The following is a 19,458-nucleotide window of genomic DNA, read 5'->3' as shown; positions in this document are numbered from 1 at the left end:
ATTTATATGTGTAATATATATACATGTATATGTATATATATTTTATATATATATATATATATATATATATATATATATATATATAGAGAGAGAGAGAGAGAGAGAGAGAGAGAGAGAGAGAGAGAGAGACAAGGTCTCATCCTGTTGCCCAGGTTTGAGTGTGGTGTGGGATCGTGGCTCACTGCAGCCTCAACCTCCTGGGCTCAAGTGATCCTCTTACTCCAGCCCCCCCGAGTAGCTGGGGCTCTAGGTGTGTGCCACCATGCTCAACTAATTTTTGTATTTTAAAATAATATTTCAATGACCATGAAAGCAAGATTTTTGAGAATGGTTTCTGTGTGTTATTTGGTATATCACATTACTATTGATCTTGAGTGGAAGCAAAGAAAGAGCAAGAGCAAGATGACCAGCTCAGGAGGGGAAATGAATTAGTGACCAAATGAATTAGTGACCAAAGGTAGTGGTTTCACTGAATTGTGTAAATTGAGTTACCACCTGAGTTACCCTGTATAGGTTGTAGTGAAGTAAGCTACGAACATCATTTACCATTTTTCTTACGTGTATTTTAAGGCTTCCTTACTTCGGGTATCAATTTGACAGCCTTCTCATCAGAGCAAGAGACTTGCCTGACTAAAGAGTGGGAAGGAAGGTCAGATCTCTTTTGACTTAGGTTGGTAGCATGTTGCCTGCCAAGCTTACCCTGTTGTTTTCTGTGCTCCAACTATTCTGTGGGTAAGTAGAGGGCTCTAGCTTCTGGGGGTTGTCAATCTAGCACCTTTCATGAGAGCTAAATTCAGGTTAAAGAAAAAAAAAAAGAACCATAACTGACAAAGAAATTTGAGGGTGAGGGTAGGGGGTTTGAGGAAAAGAATTAAATAGCAATAGTCTACCCTTTCATTTACATGACACACATTAACCGTACTACAGAAGTTCCAAGAGAACTGTCTTGTTCTCTTGTCTCCAGGAGCCCATGTAGGGCGCTTTAATTGCCACATTTTCAAACTGATATAATAGTGGGGATGTCTTAGTAATTACCTTAATGAGATAACACCTTTCCTTCCCTCAACCTACTCATTATCACGCCTCTTGTTCAAATTTCAACTACAAAGAACTCTACTTGTAAAAAAAAAAGTCTGAAATGTATTGTTCCAGGTCTCATACCCTTAAAATAATCACACTGCACATATCTTAAAAATATGAAAGAAATAGTACACACAGGCAATTCAAATATATTAAAGGAAAGGCTTGAGATAAGTAAACTAAACATCTGGGTGCCCTTTAATTATTCTTGGTTGGATTCTTTATCTTGACCTATAGTGATGCTAAGGTGCCAAAGTGATGAATTTTAAGATGTTGGGCTGTGAAGACGTGCAGCTGCAACACTGATGGATTTAGGAAGGGATGGTAACAAGGTTAGCTGCATGTGAAGTGTGAATTGAGATTTTTGCAAAGAGACTGTGATTGCAGATGGGCATAATGTTGTACCCTTGCATGAAATCTTGCTATTATTGTATAATGGTCAGACAGAGTGTGAAATGACTTATTACTTTTCTTTTATTCTTTAATGAAGTTGGTTAGAGTAGCAGTACTACTGCTAGTCCATAGTAGTAAAGCACACACATACAAAAAACTATATGACAGGTGCTGAAATATTAAATATTTATTTAGTTTTGACTTTTTCCCTCTAATTTTCATGAATATCCATATGCAAACAGAAGCATCTCTTTATCCATATAGATAAATTTGTACTGATTTGTGTGTCTGCACTTACCCTTATTATCTTGTATAAATATCTATTTGATGCCCTGATGCATGTAAAGGATTTCAGTGTCCAAGAACATTTCATAGCTCTTTTAAATGTTTAAAAATGTTGTAATCCTTTGGGACTGATTTCTGCATGGAATTCTGATTTGAAAAGTCTATTTGGACTTATAGAAACAATGCTGAAATATTGGTTTATCACTATCATGAATAGAAATGCTTTATGGAACAAAACATAATAAAAACCCATTAAGAGGCACACTCTCTAACATGGTTTGAGTTGTGGGAAAGATTAAATCATGGTTCCTCTGTTTTGTAATATAGAGTACATATCTTTCATTATATCACAGAGCCCATAATGTAAATATTTCTTTACTTCCCAATATCAGCATCACAAGAAGATAATACCTTAGGCTTTACAAGCCAAAGGGAAATAATGCTATGATGTTAAAAACAAAACGAAACAAACAAAAAACCCTCTACTTCTATGTAAGTTCTTCTGGCTCCAGATGCTTCTGTTAGAAATGGTAAGAAATATACATTTAAATATATTTGGTTTTTGGAGATTAGGGATTTTTTTCATTATAGAATTCTTTTTATACGGCTTGTAAGATTCGCAATCATTCTTAACGCGTTGCCCTGATATTCTTGATATGAATAATAAGTGTTTAGAAAAGACACAAATCTATGTATTTAACATACCCCCTTCAATTGAATAAAGTTTAATATAAATTTGTTTTGATTTCTCATATTGTTGTACAGTTAGGCCATGATATAATAAAATTATTTTTCTGTGACTTGGACTATATTGAGGATCAAATGATGTTCTTCAAAACAACATACATCAGCCCTTAGAAACAAACTTGGAACCACTGACCTATAAAAATAGTGTTTAGTCTTGTCCCTCAGCACCAACTTTACTGACCCCTTTCCCTACTTTTCTTTGGCTCAACTTGTTCTGCAGATAGAAATCCATTATTATATAGTTTCTCATCAATCAAAAGATAGAACCACTAATATTTATTTAGTTGAAATCTGGAAATATAACACATATCATACCTTCTTTTTTATTTCTTTTTATAAAAAGATGCTATCTTTCACTAGAAGCCTCCTTGTTGTCCAACAATGCAGTGGATGTTGGAATTTCTCTCTCAGGCTTGGTCTAAGAATATATTAGTATAGGGCAATATATAGAGAGAGCAGATTTTTGAAGGACTTGCATTTGTGAGATACCTTAACTTCATATATTTGTAATGTCAGTATTACGAAAGACATATATTCCTGCTTCTTACATATACTACCACTTCTTACATGGTGACTTGGCCACATCTATAGAAAATATTGGCAACTGTAATTAGTGATCTCTCACCCTCTTTATTCTATATTCCCCAGAGTGAAGTGCTGTGATTGGTTTGCAGTCTACTAAGATCAGCCCTTTTATAGCTACATGAAAGTGAATCTGTGTAAGAGAAAACATTATCTGCTACATGGTGAGAATCTGCGCCAGTACCGTATGAATTTCAGATTTCAAAAAATTAGCTTAATAGCATCTATTGCAGTTAACTGTGACAGCATTTTAGGGGTCCTCTATATCTCAACATTAGTGTTGTAAAACTTTGAATTCTTCCTCATTAAGAAAAGCTTTCCTCTGTATTACCATGAATACACAGTATGCACATAACATTTATCTCAACAAGTTTTTCAGCTGATAGCTTTACTCTTGAGGTTTTCTTTTTAATCTCATTCTAGGATGAGAGATATTGGTCTTTATGTTTGAAAGTACATAGTGGTAGTTTTCCTTAGCAAGATGAGAAATGTTCCTTGTGGATTGCTCAGGGAATAATGAAATAAAACACTCTCCAGGCATGGTCACTCACACCTGTAATCCCAGCACTTGGAAGGCCAAAGTTGGTGGATTGCTTGAGCTCAGGAGTTCGAGACCAGCCTAGGCAACGTGGTGAAACCCCATCTCTACAAAAAATCCCAAACTAAGCCAGGTATGGTGGCACATGCCTGTAGTCCCAGTTAGGAAGTTCAGGTGGGAGGATCGCTTGAGCCTGGGAGGTCGAGGCTGCAGTGAGCTGTGATTGCACCACTGCTCTCCAGCCTGGGTGACAAAGTAGAAAAAAAAGAAAAGAAATAAAACACTCAAAGTCTACTTATTAATTAAAGAAAGTGTCAGCTGGGGGCAGCAGTTCATGCCTGTAATCTCAGCACTTTGAGCAGCCAAAGTGGAGGATTTCTTGCGGCCAGGAGTTTGAGACCAGCCTGGGCAACATAGAAAGACCCTGTTTCTATAAAAACAAACAAACACACAAAAAAACCTTGCACCCATAGTACTAGTAGTACTAGCTACTGGGAGGCTGAGGCAGGAGGATTAATCGCTTGAGCCCAGGTTTTGAGGTTTCAGTGAGCTATGAACAAAAAAGTATCATCACATCTCTCTCTCTCTAAGTGTTGGTTTAAAAATTCTGGATTGTGTGGCCAGGTGCGGTGGCTCATGCCTGTAATCCCAGCACTTTGGGAGGCCGAGGCAGGTGGATCATGAGGTCAGGAGATCGAACCATCCTGGCTAACACGGTGAAAACCTGTCTCTACTAAAAATACAAAAAATTAGCTGGGTGTAGTGGCACACACCTGTAGTCCCAGCTACTCGGGTGGCTGAGGCAGGAGAATTGCTTGAACCCAGGAGGCGGAGGTTGCAGTGAGCCAAGATTGCACCACTGCACTCCAGCCTGGGTGACAGAGTGAGACTCCGTCTCAAAAAAAAAAAAAAAAAATTCTGGATTGTTTGTCAAGAACATTTATCTATGCATACTTCCTGATCATAACTAGTGAATTAATATTTAACATTATCCTCAATATGTGATAGATATATCTTTTTGTCCCTAATCCCTGGGTCAGTGCCTAGTATAACATAAGTACTTAAACTTTATGTAATTGAATATGAAGTCATTGCTTAATTAAAAACAGCATATCCAAGTGATGTTTGTAAGTCAATATAGATTCCCTGATGGAAAGAACCATGTCTGATCTTTCATGGTATTTCAAATACTTGGCATATTAACTTGAAGATCCTAAGGGCACAATATATATTTGTTATCACTGTTGACTATAGTTGTGATATAATAAAAATTGTTTAAAAATTAATTTTAATTTTCAATTGGTTTTTGGCTATCTTATATATTTCTTTTTTAAAAAATTACTTTATTTGAGATGGAGTCTCGCTCTGTCATCCAGGCTGGAGTGCAGTGGCGCGATCTCGGCTCACTGCAACCTCAGCCTCCAGGGATCAAGCAATTCTCCTGCCTGAGCCTCCTGAGTAGCTGGGATTACAGGCATCAACCACCACGCCCGACTAATTTTTTGTATTTTTAGTAGAGACAAAGTTTCATCATGTTGGCGAGGCTGGTCTCGAACTCCTGACCTCAGGTGATCCACCCACCTCAACTTCCTAAAGTGCTAGGATTACAGGCGTGAGCCACCACGCCTGGCCTTATTTTATATATTTCAATGATAAGAATAGTATCTGGTAAAATTGAATTAATTATGTGACATCAACTAATTCTTGAATTAGTTGTGCCACTGGCCTACATTTTAATTAAAACATCCTTTTTTCATAGATCTGAAGTAGCTATGTCAAAATAGTCACTAGACTATTTTGTTGTTGCTGATTATGTGTAGCAAAAAGAGAAATGCAAGCAATACTCCCAACCCTTTTCTAGAAATGTGTCTCTTTAATAAGAATGGAAGTGAAGGCAGATGTCAGGAACTGACTCCACTTTTTATTGGATCCTATATTCTAAATTGTATTAGTAAGTAAATTCAGGCAGCTACAGAAGCTAAGAAAAGGAATAGAGAGACATTTTAGCTTATTAACAATATTATTAACGGGCTAATGACAACTGGGAAAATAAATTGAGTTGGCAATTTAATAGGTATAATTCAAAGAGTAAACAGAAGCAGCTAAATTTCATGGTTAATAGTGGTACTATTGAGATAAGGCTGTTGGAAGACACTGTTAATAAAAACAGTGACTTTCAAAATGAAGCTACATTTAGGAACTAGGTTTCACTAGAACTATTTGGCATGATGTTTGGGTTCAAAATTACTTAATGCATTGTTAACTGTACTCTGCAATGTGTGTAGCAGAAGAGAGAAAATTGATGCTTTTTCTTGTAAGGATGCTAACATTCACATTCTTTGTATTTTACCACACCCATGTTTTAAGATGCTTGGAGAAGAAAAGCATACTGATAGAGAAAAATCTGTAAAATCTTGTCAGGTATTATTTATGTATTATTATTTTGTTGTAAAAGATGTGAAAACATGAAGAATTAGAAAACAGAACAGCTAAAATAAGTTATAATGAGTCACATCTCAAAAAAATACACTCAAGGGAATAACAATGTAATGACAACACATTTTCATTATTCTAAAAACAAATTCTGTCTGATGGTTAAACCCTATTAATTGGATATTTTAGCTACTTACCAAAGGAATATGACTGTAATAAGTAGCCTTTTCTTCCAAAGAATAAGATACACCTACTATCACTTTATTTGGTGAATCTGGTTCTCTTGTGCTACATAATTTGTGGTATGGAAAGGGTGGAATGTATGTTGAAAGAATATGTTAAGATATTTCATATGGGGATTTCAAATTTCCTAGATACTTTAGATATCCGAGGAAAAACATTGTAGGAACAAAGCAGGAACCTTAGAGATGTGATGACTATCCCCCGAGTATTACAATGATTCATAATTCACAGGAGAGCAAGGCTCAAGTGGATCATACTTTTTATGGTACAAATGGGATTAATGTTGTGCTTCACAGATACTACATGTTTATCACAAAGAAGACTATGTTTCAACTTTCTTTTACTGTGTTAAGGCTTAGGAGAAACAACATTAAAATATGTTTTAAACTTGTAGATTAAAAAAAGACCACTGGTTATTATTGTCCAGAGGTGGAGATAATTTTAGAATTATTTTGGTTCTTTTCTCAGAGATCTGAAATCTATTCACACTGTATAGCAATGCTATGATTCATATTTATTGTTTGTGAAACTTTGAAATGTGCGCTCATCTTTTCAACTTAGAAATCGTGTTGCTGGCATATAAACTTTAAGACTATCTGTCTCTTTTCTAAGTTATCATAACTCCAGCAATGAAGCAGATCCTAAAACATTTATTTACATGGACATCCTGGAGAGGTATTTATTTCTTAAAACCTTGTGAAATTGTTAATTGTGGATAGTGAGAGTGTGGCTAGATAGATTACTGCATAAATACACCAGGTGACACTTGAGCCAGGTTTTCGGGCCATTCTATCACTTTTCATCCTGTTTGTCAGTGACTTTTCTTTTTTTTTCTTTAATTTTCTCCCTCTCTCTTCCTCCTACTTCTTCTCTCTTCTTTTATCTGTTATACGTCTGTTTAGTACTTTTGCCATTCTTCTGTGTGTGATGTTTGATTACCTATTTTTCTCCTTAGACTATATGCTTTTTGAGGACATATACTACACGTTAAAAAATTCCTACAATTCCTATCAGAGATGCTCGATAAACATTTATGGAGCTCCCACAAGCCAATATTCTTATTTTGCAGATTACACACTGTCAGAATCATTAAACTCTGGGATACGGATATTTTTTCATTATTAGTACTGTATGTGCTTATATATAAATTTAAATGTGTAATTAATTTAGTTTAGAAATGGTGTTTAAGGATGATTGGTTTGGATTATCAATACAGTGTTTATGCATAACATTAAATGATGGCAGGCTGGAGTCTCCTGTATAGCTTCTTATTTACCAAATGGAGCCTGTGGTTCGTGATGATTTTCTCCAAAACATATGGTTAGTGATTAATCCTTGATATAATTTCTAAAACAGTCAAGAACAGTGAATATACAGCCTTAGAGAGGGAAATTGGAGCTGTGAAATTTTATGAGCCAGATCTTTTCCAAAAGAGAGAGAGAAGGATGTTCTCCTGCTCCTAGGCTTTGGGAAAGTTTAATTAAACTCATTGGTGAAATGTCAAAGAAATGTAATTCACCAACTATTTTGACTATTTTTTCTATTATGAAGTCATTTTAGTATTTATTAGAATGTTCTCTTGGTTCCGAGTTTACTGTTGGCTCATCTAATTTGAAAGGATAATTGAAGAGCTTTGATAAATGAATATTAAAATGTGTCTTGTTTCCTTATAGCTTCTTCTAGGGTTCTGTCCAGCGTATCTCTGCAGTGCCAAATGACCCAGGAGTCCTGGCAAAGACAGTCTTCAGGCTTTGGCAATGGAGGTTTGGCCTACGTTTTCTCAACTGCCCAAATATTTTGTGACTTTCAATCTCAGCAGGCATCTCCTTCTCTTCCATAGCAACAGTACATTTGGGGGATTATTGTGTTTTTTTTTCCCTTCTACCTCCTGTGGGAGAATAACACTAATTCTAAGCTGGGATAAATGGCTAGAATTCAGTATGGCTCTGTTAGACTCTATTTCTAGAGTAGAGTTAGATACAATACTCGAAGACAGGCCTTCTTTTGGAGTCCTAGGGAAAAACATAACCAAATTAAATAAAATGTCAATTTCTGGCTTGTATTTTCTTTTCCAGTTGTGATGTATGTTAAAATGATATTTTCCCTTTAAGAAATGAACAGATATAAATAATATGTCAAGAACTCATCCTCAATCTTAAGGCCATTTCCATAGAGGACTCTTTTATTAAACCAAAAATTTACTATGGATAATGATTAGATACGTAAATGATACATAACTACTTTTTTAGAGGACTTCACTAAAAGCATTTTATACTACATGGATTGTTTTACTGTGAACATTCCCAGTGATTGGTACAAACCTTTGCCAATGAATGACAAATTTACATACACATCATGTCAGCCAGCAATATTTTGCAGCTTTAATTGCTTTAGCTTCAGGCATTCTATGTCAAAATAGAGTGTTTAATGTCCTGCAAGTTACTCTGTTTCTTTGCAATGTTAAATTATTCTGTAATTTGCCTGTTTTCTTTCTAGCACATTGTCCATTAAGTCCTTTAATAATTTATAATATAAAATGCATAATGCAACTTTAAATAGCATGGACAGCTTCATTTTTAGAAGGTTCTGGGTGGGGTGTATCAAGAAGAACAGAAAATCTGAAGTGCATTTGCATAAAATGTTTACTGTTACCTTATACATGTTGAAAATCTTCCATTTATGTTGCTAAACTTTTGTCTTAATGTTAACTGTATTGGGGTGTGTATTGTGTGTATATTTTTAAAATTTTAGATAAAACAGCATTAAAAAACTATGTAGACAATACAGAATCTATTAAAAGGAAAATGATGGTATTTTGTGCAGCCAGCTACATTTTCATAGTAAAAAGCTGATTTTACTCAGTAAAATCTAAGAGAATGAATGTGATAAAAAATTTACTTGTAGGTGTTTAGTCAAGCTAATTTCAACAAAGATGTATGAATACAGAAACACAGTCTTTCATATGTCTTTGCTTGTTGTAGGTTTAAAGTACATTGAAAAAAACCCTTTACCTAGCTGTTATTAGTATTTTATTATTTTTAATTGTTAGGATTTTACCTTGTGTTCATTTATAAAGAGTGATCCTTGTTCAATAACTGTTTCTGATGTGGTGCTGTTATGCACATGTATATTGTGTCTTGGGTGTTAAGATAAAATAAATTAGCAAAATTCACATAAATGTGTAAAAGCCAAAGAATGTCAAACAACTGCTCTTCTCTATTGAAAATGCCATGTTCAAAAATAACCTATTCCTTAACTATATAATATAAAATTACTTAAAATTCTAGTGAATAATGATAATAACATATTCCTCAGTATACAGTAAATATCTCTCTTTTAAAAGTGGCAGGAGAACAAAATAGGTTTATCTTTTATGTCTTTGAATACTCATACTTGCAAAAGATAGAAAGTCTTATTTAAAACATTAAAAATATAATTCATAATTCATTATAAATTTACCTTTACTATTTACCCCCTCTTCTGCCTTTCTCTGGTCTTGAGGATGCTTCTTTACTTATTATGTTTTTCTATTGAGTTCCCAGAGTGCCTTTGGACAAGTTTGGCTATAATTCGGTCTTTGAGTCTTTGTGATCCTTAAAATAGGATCAGACAATTGTATAATTGGTTTCCTAAGGGTTTTGGAGCATTGGAGGTCTTTCTTTCTTTCTTTCTTTCTTTCTTTCTTTCTTTCTTTCTTTCTTTCTTTCTTTCTTTTTCTTTCTTTCTTTCTTTCTTTTTTTTTTTTTTTTTTTTTTTGAGACGGAGTCTCGCTCTGTCGCCCAGGCTGGAGTGCAGTGGCGCGATCTCGGCTCACTGCAAGCTCCGCCTCCCGGGTTCACGTCATTCTGCACTGGAGCACTTTCTAGTTCAAGCTGTTACCTAACATATATCCAAGACTCATAGAGAAAATTGCATTGTCTGATCAAATAATCTCTAGAGACATTTAATCCAAGGTTGATATCATCTTTTGATATAGAGATATCAAAAGTATAGGGATATACTTAGGGACTGTATAGGGATACCATATGGAAGAACACTTCACACTTCAACAGTATTTGTGAATCAACCCTAATACTTACTTTGACGTTTTAAAAACCATGTGCATTGACACTGTGGTTAAAGTATTTGAGCACCACGAAAAAGCTTGCCTTGATTGGTTTTAACTTTAATATTTCACTTTTTGGAGGAGGTATCTAATGGGAAGCGTTGATGAGGGTGGATATTTTAAGACGGTAGATTTTTTTCTCCCACCATAAGCTTAGTTGACCACTTATAAATGAAGCACATATATTTTTTAAAAAGACAAGGATTAGAAGGGAATCACATGTGTAGAAAACTAAAGCTCTATTATATTTGGCTTTGGCAGCTTCCAATTCTATTCTGACTTAGAATGTGAAGTGAGGAACCTGTACTTACTTTGAAAGCCTGAAATAAGTGGCAGTTGCTAGCATTTCCAGCTTCGTGTTTTCCTAAATGCCTGGAATAAACTCAGTAGAGATAAAAGAATATACATTAGTGAGCAAGTAAGAACTCTTTCAGTGCATTAAAAAAGGGCCTATTTGGATTATCAAGTTTATTGATAATAACATATATATTCTTTCATTTCTCTGTTTATACTATTTCTGATGGGAACTATGGCCAGAAGATGTTATGGTACAATGTTAAGATAAGCTTGGCTTAACAATTATTAGAGAAAACGCCTTATAGTTTGCTAATTTCCAGAACTTTTGTGGTAATTAGAATAGTCCTCCACCAAGAAAGGAGAAAGGTATACAAGTAAAAATCTATTCTGCTTCTCCCCCAGGTGTGGGCCTTTTTTTTCTCTGCTATCTCTTTGGAATCCTAAGGAATGACTTGATACTTCATCACATGCCTGGGGGTGGTGAGGGCTCAGAAAGGGTGAGGTGAGTGGTGCTTGTGGCTACATTTCTGTATTGAATTTAATTTTTCATTGATAATTAGACTCTTGAAGCCACCTGATATTTTTGACCAGCAGGAAACAAAAGCCCACTGATTGACTCAGGGGATACACAGGAGTGGCCCCCACTGTGCTCACACAGCAGCTCCACAAAGACTAAAAACAAGAGCTGTGGCAAATTGGATCACCATACAAGTTTCAACTGGCCCATTGTGTACAAGTAGTAAATTGGGAGCTGATATTTCTGAGAACTATTTATTAGCAAAGCTTGGTGGTTACTCCCTCCCTACCTTGTCTCTCCCCACCACCCCAGCTTAGTTTACTTGAGTAAACAGCTTTTCCCAAGTTAGATGAGCAACCTAAAGTGCTTATAAAAATTCAGTTAATTATCCAAAGAATTGTCTAGACTAGAAATGTACTGATGATATGTGACAAATAGAATACATTTTTTTTTTTTTACTAAACAGGGATTTATGTGTGTATAATTGTACTAAAAGGCAAATAGGTGACATTTGCAAGAGTTTACTGAAATGCAAAAAATGGAATAATATTTTAAAAATTCAACCCTGCTGCTGCATGTCTTATTTAGATTTTTAAATGAAGATTTCTCCATGACAGCTTCGGGTGGAGTGATCAGTTCTAACCATTTAGTATAAAAAAAGTGTGAAAATACTAGGCTGTGGCCAGTTAGCAGAAATCACAGTTATACAAGCCTAGACCTGTATGTCTTACAGAAGATTTGATAACTCTGGATGTTTTTTCAATTTGAGTAATGCAGAGGGAGAAAAATAGAGTTTGTTTCATTAGTTTCTTATATATGTACCATCTCTGAGAGTTTTAGCTTTTGGTGAGTTGGGAATATGATATTATCGCTACTACAATATCATAGGGGAAAATGTATACAGAAACTTGTATAACTGCAAAAAGTAAAGTTTATATGAATCTTTCACAGTAAGGCTTTGAGATGATGCCAATTCATTTTATGGATATTTATTCATTTAATCTTTTATGGGTACTACTACATACGGTATATTTTTATTTCTGTGCTCTTCCATTTTCATCTGGTGTCTAAATTAATCCTATGGGCAATGAAATGATTTGGTGGGAGAAGCCCAAGAGTAAGAGGAATAATATTGGTGCTGCAGCTAGGGAACACCATGGAGACCATGCTAGAGAGGGTGCAAGCATGCTTTGGTCATTAGTTTGATTCTGAGTAAGAAGACTAAGCCATCAAATATTCATTAATGATTATGATGTTCAATAATCTGTTAGATGTTGTAGAGGATGAGAAAAGTATGATGCTTGGCTTCTGACATCTAGAGGTTTATCATTTAATAGGTAAACAAAAATTATCATAAAACAATTAGCAAACTATTGAAATACAGAGGTTGCAAGAATAATATTGCAGAGCTATGAATACTTGCATGCCTGTTTAGGCATTCTTTTAGAAAAATTGAAGTGTAGACTTTCTTAACTTGGTAGCTAGCACGAGATAGGTGGGATTATTGTACCTCAGAAAATTATAAAAGAATTCAAAAGTATCTTATAAATTAGGAAAAAATTTCATTTAATTCTTGGGAATCAAAGCAGACACTAAAGACTCAGGATCCAGAGATACTGAACAGTTTCCAAGACTAAGGAGATATTATTGGAGGAATATGGCATGTTTAAGAAAACTTTAGTTTTTGTCATTACAGATTTTTTTTAAACGTAGGGAAATTGAAGGGAAACAAAATGAGGAATATTTATAAAAGTTCCTCATTGGGTTGCTATGAGGATTAAATGAGATAAAGCATACAAGGTGCCTGGCACAGACTAGGTGTTCAACATATGCCAGTTTTAAAAAAAATAAAGCTACTAGCTTTATTTTTTATATTTCACATGTATATGAAATATATATGTGAAATATATATTTCATATATTTATATATGGTTTCACCAGACATGGTGAAACCCCATCTCTACTAAAAATACAAAAATTAGCCAGGTGTGGTGGCGGGCACCTGTAATCCCAGCTACTTGGGAGGCTGAGACAGGAGAATCACTTGAACCCAGGAGGCAGAGGTTGCAGTGAGCTGAGATTGCGCCATTGCACTCCAGCCTGGGTGACAAGAGTAAAACTCCGTCAAAACAAAAACAAAAAGAGAGGAAAAGAAAAGAAAAAGAAAAGAAAAGAAGTCAGGAAAGGTTGAATAATGTCTCAGTGCCTGAGACTAGAGAGTAAGCTGGAAGTGATGATTCATTTTCTTTCTCCCTCGGCTCTCAGAGGGTCAGGTAAGCATGTATCTGCTAGATGGGATCCTCTTTAAGTTAGCTGGGGCTGGGCCCCATGCTCTCCTTACTCTTGTAGCACTTAGTCCTAATACCACCCCTTTTCCATCACTACAGGAAATAAGCCTAATTCCAGGTCCAGCGGTTTTTGACACTTTTGTCCTCACCACCTGCCTTCTGAAAATTCCCCCTCTCTTTGGCTTCTGGGATAATCACTGTTTCTAATTTCTCCCACTTCTGAACCTCTTCTCTGTCTCCCTTGATGGGTTTCTTTTTCCATGAGAAAGTACCCTCCCCCTGCTTTTTTTTTTTAAACTGAATTCTATTCTCAGCCCCCCTTTTCTTCCCACTCTATAAATCATTCCTAGGAGATTCTCATCTTGCATGGCATTGTTTCTCATATAATGACTGACAATTCTCCATATCCAGCCCCAGCCTCTCCACTGGGCTCTGAAAATGCATTTCCAACTTGTTACTTACATCTTCTGTAGTTTTCTTAAATTCAACTTGCCCATAACAGAATTTGTTTTCCACAGCAAAAACGTTCCTTCTCCTGTATTCCCTATATAAATTAATGTTATTTCTATCATAGGGTGTCCAAATGGGCAACTTGCCTGGGATTGAGGGGTTTCCCATAACACAAGACTTTCAGTGCTGAACCTGAGAAAGTCCTGGGCAACCTGGGACCAGCTGGGCCCCCTATCTATCTATCAAATCTCCCAAACCAGCACCTCCGAGTTTCTTTCCACACTTCCCCCTCTCTCATCTCCCACCTCTAATTAGTCACCAAATTCTCGGTATCATACCTCAGAAATCTCTCTAGAAACTTTCCCTACTTTTCTCTTCTCCATACTACTGCCTGTATTCAGGCCTTTATTATTTCTTGCCTGAGATACTGTAATAGAATCCCACCTTGTGACTTTGAGCTCAGTCCACTTTATATTCTGCCTAAGAAACCTGCATGAATACAGATATAATCATCATGACACTATTAAACAATAAACCTAGAAGGAATGAATTCATACAGAAAATTGAATCCTGCCGTAGATTAGAGGTTTTTGGCTTTTCACCTTGACCACAAACCCAGGAACTGATTGTAACCTCAGTATAATAGATATCTGTTAGGGATCAACACAATTTTCTCCTCAGCATCTGGATCAATTTTTCCCTCTGTCTGGACAGGTGTGCTTGCTTTTCAAAAAATTGCTATGGGAACATCATCTTGCATTATAGTCTAATCAAAATAAAGCCATAAAATTTCTGCAATTATGTACAAAGAACTAGATAATGGTGATAGGATAAGGATCAAGAAAGGGCAAAAATACAAATTTTAACAGGAAACCAAATACTAGTACACTTCATTTTATTGTCCTTCCCTTTATTGTGCTTCACAGATACTACATTTTTTTTTTTTTAAAGAAATTGAAGTTTTGTGGCAATTCTGCACCAGGAAGTCTTGCACCAGAAAGTGTATCAGCACCATTTTTCCAACAGCATGTGCTCACTTTGTGTCTCTGTGTCCCATTTTAGTAATTATCATAATATTTCAGACTTTTTCATTATTATTATATCTTTTATTGTGATCTGTGGTTAGTGATCTTTGATGTTACTGTTGTAATTGTTTTATGTCGCCATAAACAGCACCTGTATATGATGGTGAACTTAACCAATAAATGTGTGTGTTCTGACTGCTATACTGACTGGCTGCTCCCCCATCTCTGTTTCTTTTCTTGGGCCGCCCTATTCCCTGAGACACAATAATATTGAAATTAGGCCAGTTAACAATCCTACAAAGACCTCTAAGTGTTCCAGTGAAAGGAAGCATTGCAAGTCTCTCACTTTAAATGAAAGGCTAGCAATGATTAATCTCAATGCGGAAGTCATATTGAAAGCTGAGATAGGCTGAAAGCTAGGCCTCTTGCACCAAACAGTTAGCCAAGTTGTGAATGCAAAGGAAGAGTTCTTGAAGAAAATGAAAAGTGCTAGTCCAGTGAACACAGAATGATAAGAAAGCAAAAACAGCCTTATCACTAATATGAGGAAAGTTTTAGTGGTCTGAATAGGTTTTACTGGTCTGAATAGAAGATCAGACCAACCACAACATTCCCCTAAGCCAGAGCCTAATCTGGAGCAAGACCCTAATTCTCTGTGAAAGTTCTATGAAGGCTGAGAGAGGTAAGAAAGCTGTAGAACAAAAGTTAGAAGCTAGCAGATGTTTGTTCATGAGGTTTAAGGAAAGAAGTTGCCTTTATAACGTAAAACTGCAAGGTGAAGCACCGAGTGCTGCTGTAGAAGCTGCAGCAAGTTATCCAGAAGATGATGGATGAAGGTGGATACACTAAACATCAGATTTTCAACGTAGACAAAACAACATTGTATTAGAAGATGCCATCTAGAACTTTCATAACTAGAGAGGAGAAGTCAATGCCTGGCTTCAAAACTTCAAAGGACAGGCTGACTTTCTTGTTAGGGGCTAAGGTAGCTGGTGACTTTAAGTTGAAGCCAATGCTCACTTACCATTTCAAAAATCCCAGGGCCTTTAAGAATTATGCTAAATCTACTCTGCCTGTGCTGTATGAGTGGAACAACAAAGCCTGTATAACAGCACATCTGTTTACATCATGGTTTACTGAATATTTTAAGCCCACCGTTGAGACTTACTTCTCAAAAAAAGATTCCTTTCAAAATATTCCTGCTCATGGACAATGCACCTAGTCACCCAAGAGCTCTGATGGAGATGTCTAAGGAAATGAATGTTGTTTTCATGCCTGCCAACACAATATCCATTCTGCAGCCCATGAATCAAACAGTAATTTTGACCTTTAAGTCTTTTGTTTTTGTTTTTTTTTGAGACAGAGTCTCGCTCTGTCACCCAGGCTGGAGTACAATGGCACGATCTCGGCTCACTGCAACCTCCACCTCCCGGGTTCAACCTTCTGAGTAGCTGAGATTACAGGCACACGCAACCACGCCCGGGTAATTTTTGTATTTTTAGTACAGATGGGGTTTCACTATGTTGGCCAGACTGGTCTCAAACTCCTGACCTTGTGATCCACCTGCGTCGACTTCCCAAAGTGCTGGGATTACAGGGGTGAGCCACCACGCCCAGCCCTACTTTTAAGTCTTTTTATTTAAGAAATATATCTGATAAGGCTTTAGCTGTCATAAGTCAGGATTCCTCTGACGGATCTGGGCAAAATAAATTGAAAATCTTCTGGGAAGAATTCACCATTTTCTCTCTCTCTCTAATATATATTATATATAGAAAGTATATATAATATACAAAATATATATTATATTTCTATTATATAAAATATATTTTATATATTATAGAAAATATATAAATATATATAAAAATATATTTTCTATAATATATATTATAGAAAATATATAAATATTATATATAAAAATATATTTTCTATAATATAAACAGAAAAATATATTTTACTCCTGACTTATGACAGCTAAAGCCTTATAAAATATATTTCTTAAATAAAAGACTTAAAAGTTGGCCGGGCGCGGTGGCTCACGCCTGTAATCCCAGCACTTTGGGAGGCCGAGGCGGGCGGATCACGAGGTCAGGAGATCGAGACCATCCTGGCTAAAAACGGTGAAACCCCGTCTCTACTAAAAATACAAAAAAATTAGCCGGGCGTAGTGGCGGGCGCCTGTAGTCCCAGCTACTTGGGAGGCTGAGGCAGGAGAATGGCGTGAACCCGGGAGGCGGAGCTTGCAGTGAGCCGAGATCCCGCCACTGCACTCCAGCCTGGGCGACAGAGCGAGACTCCGTCTCAAAAAAAAAAAAAAAAAAAAAAAAAGTTATATATACATATATGTATTTGTTGTTGTTGTTGTTTTTAGAGTTTTGCCATGTTGCCCAGGCTGGTCTTGAACTCCTGGACTCAAGCAATCCACCCACCTTGGCTTCCCAAAGTGCTGCTGTGATTACAGGCATGAGCCATCATGCCCAGCCGGATTCCAGTTTTAAAAGAAGTTCTGCGATAAATAGAGTGCTGTCAAACAGCATCACATGCTACAGGGAGATTTTTCATAACAGGAAAAGTCAATTGATGCAACAAACTTCACTGTTGTCTTATTTTAAAATATTCTTACAGCCAGCTGGCGTAGTGGCTCATGCCTGTAATCCTAGCACTTTGGGAGGCTGAGATGGGTGGATTGCTTGAACTCAGGAGCTAGAGACCAGCCTGGACAACAAGGTGAAATCCCATCTCTACAAAAAAAATATAAAAATTAGCCAGGCATGGTGGTGCGTGCCTGCAGTCCCAGCTACTTGGGAGGCTGAGGTAGGAAGATGGCTTAAGCCTGGGAGGCGAAGCCTTCAATAAACCCAGATCATAACACTACACTCAAGCCTGGGTGACAAAGTGAGACCCTATCTCAACATATATATATTTTCAACAGCTACCCACCTGATCAGTCAGCAGCCATCAACATTGAGTCAAGATCCTCAGCAAGAAGATTATGACTCGCTGACAGCTTAGATGATCATTAGCATTTTTAGCAATAAAATATTTTAAAATTAATGTATATACATTGTTTTTTAGACACAATGCTATTACACACTGAATAGACTACAGTATATAAACGTAACTTTCATATGCACCAGGAAACCAAAATATTTGTGTGACTTGCTTTATTGTGATATTCTCTTTATTGCAGTGGTCTGGAACCAAACCCCTAGGTTTGAGGTATGCCTACACAGAAATTTTGCAACTTGGGTATATTATGTCATCTCTTCTCACTCTACTCTAGCACCTGTCTCTTGTTTTAACTACAGTCTCACTAATAGTGATAGCACTTTTTGCTCATCAACAATATTCTCCATCATCATGCCAGATGCTTCAACTTGGACTGTGTAGTGGTTTTAAAATATATCCACAAAGTCTTCGATATTCCATCCTTCAATATGTGAAGCTTAATTTCCCTTCTTTTGAGTGTGAGCTCAACTTAGTGACTTGCTTCTAATGAATAAAATATGGCAGGAGTGAGAAGAAGTTTTCTGAGACTAGATCATAAAAGGCATTGTGACTTCTTCTTTGATCTCTCTTGTTGGATCGTTTTCTCTGTGGGAAGCCAGCTTGCATGTCGTGCGGACTCTCACACAGCCCTATTCAGAGGTCTACGTGGTCAACAACTGAAGCTTCCTGACAACACCCAGCACCACCTTGCCAAGCCTGTGAATGAATGATCAGCTTAAAAGTGAATCTGCTAGTCCCAGTCAAGCCTTCAGGTAACTGTAATCCCAGCCAACATCTAGACTGTAACCTCATGAGAGAACCTGAACCAGAACTACCCAGGTAAGCTGCTCTCAGATTCCTGACCCATGAAACTATGTGAGAAAATAAATTTTTATTGTCTTAAACCACTAAGCTTTGGGGGTAATTTTATTATGCAGCAACAAATAACTAATTCAGAGCAGTTTTGCTTGATGTTTTCTCACCTATTTACGCTATACTATTTTCCCCTCATTTACTTCATTTACTGCCCTGTGATATTCCTTTATCTCTTAATTATTGTTTTCACATGCACTCATTCTGTAGGCCTTTCTATCCTCCACTTGTTTGGAGAAAATTCTCCATAGGTCTCTTGCATTTTTTTCTGTCTGGTGAGCAGAAACAACTGTCTTTTTGTTCTGGATCATCTTTTCAAGGATGCAGGTTTGCTTACTGTCCAGTATAATAAAATAATGTCTTCCTCTGGAGCAAGGTCAGACAGGTTTGCTTACTGCCCATTATAAAAGATTCAGGTTTTGTAAGTTCAGCATTTCTCAGCTGTGATGCAAACCTACTGCATGTGCAGTATACACGGGGCCCCTTCTGCATCACCCCCATGGCACTTGGGTGGGAAGTGTAGCTAAAGCAAAAATGATGTTCATGTGGCCTGCTGGGTCCTGAGTAATTAAACCCTTTATCTCTGCTATAGGATCTCATGACTTTTGCAGGCTAACT

The 19,458-nt window shown here is 36.6% G+C and overlaps 1 annotated feature.

Annotated features, from left to right (window-relative positions):
- Positions 18,313-18,833: an enhancer, noted in NCBI's record as "NANOG hESC enhancer chr1:91149838-91150358 (GRCh37/hg19 assembly coordinates)". NCBI's record gives its function as "activates a minimal SCP1, AML or CMV promoter by ChIP-STARR-seq in naive H9 embryonic stem cells {active_cell/tissue: H9 hESC(naive)}" and the evidence as "EXISTENCE:reporter gene assay evidence [ECO:0000049][PMID:30033119]".

The sequence above is a fragment of the Homo sapiens genome, chromosome 1, assembly GCF_000001405.40.
Source record: "Homo sapiens chromosome 1, GRCh38.p14 Primary Assembly".
In the NCBI taxonomy this organism is placed as follows: domain Eukaryota; kingdom Metazoa; phylum Chordata; class Mammalia; order Primates; family Hominidae; genus Homo; species Homo sapiens.
Note: the sequence above shows the minus strand (reverse complement) of the source record. Positions and strands in the feature narration are given on the sequence as shown.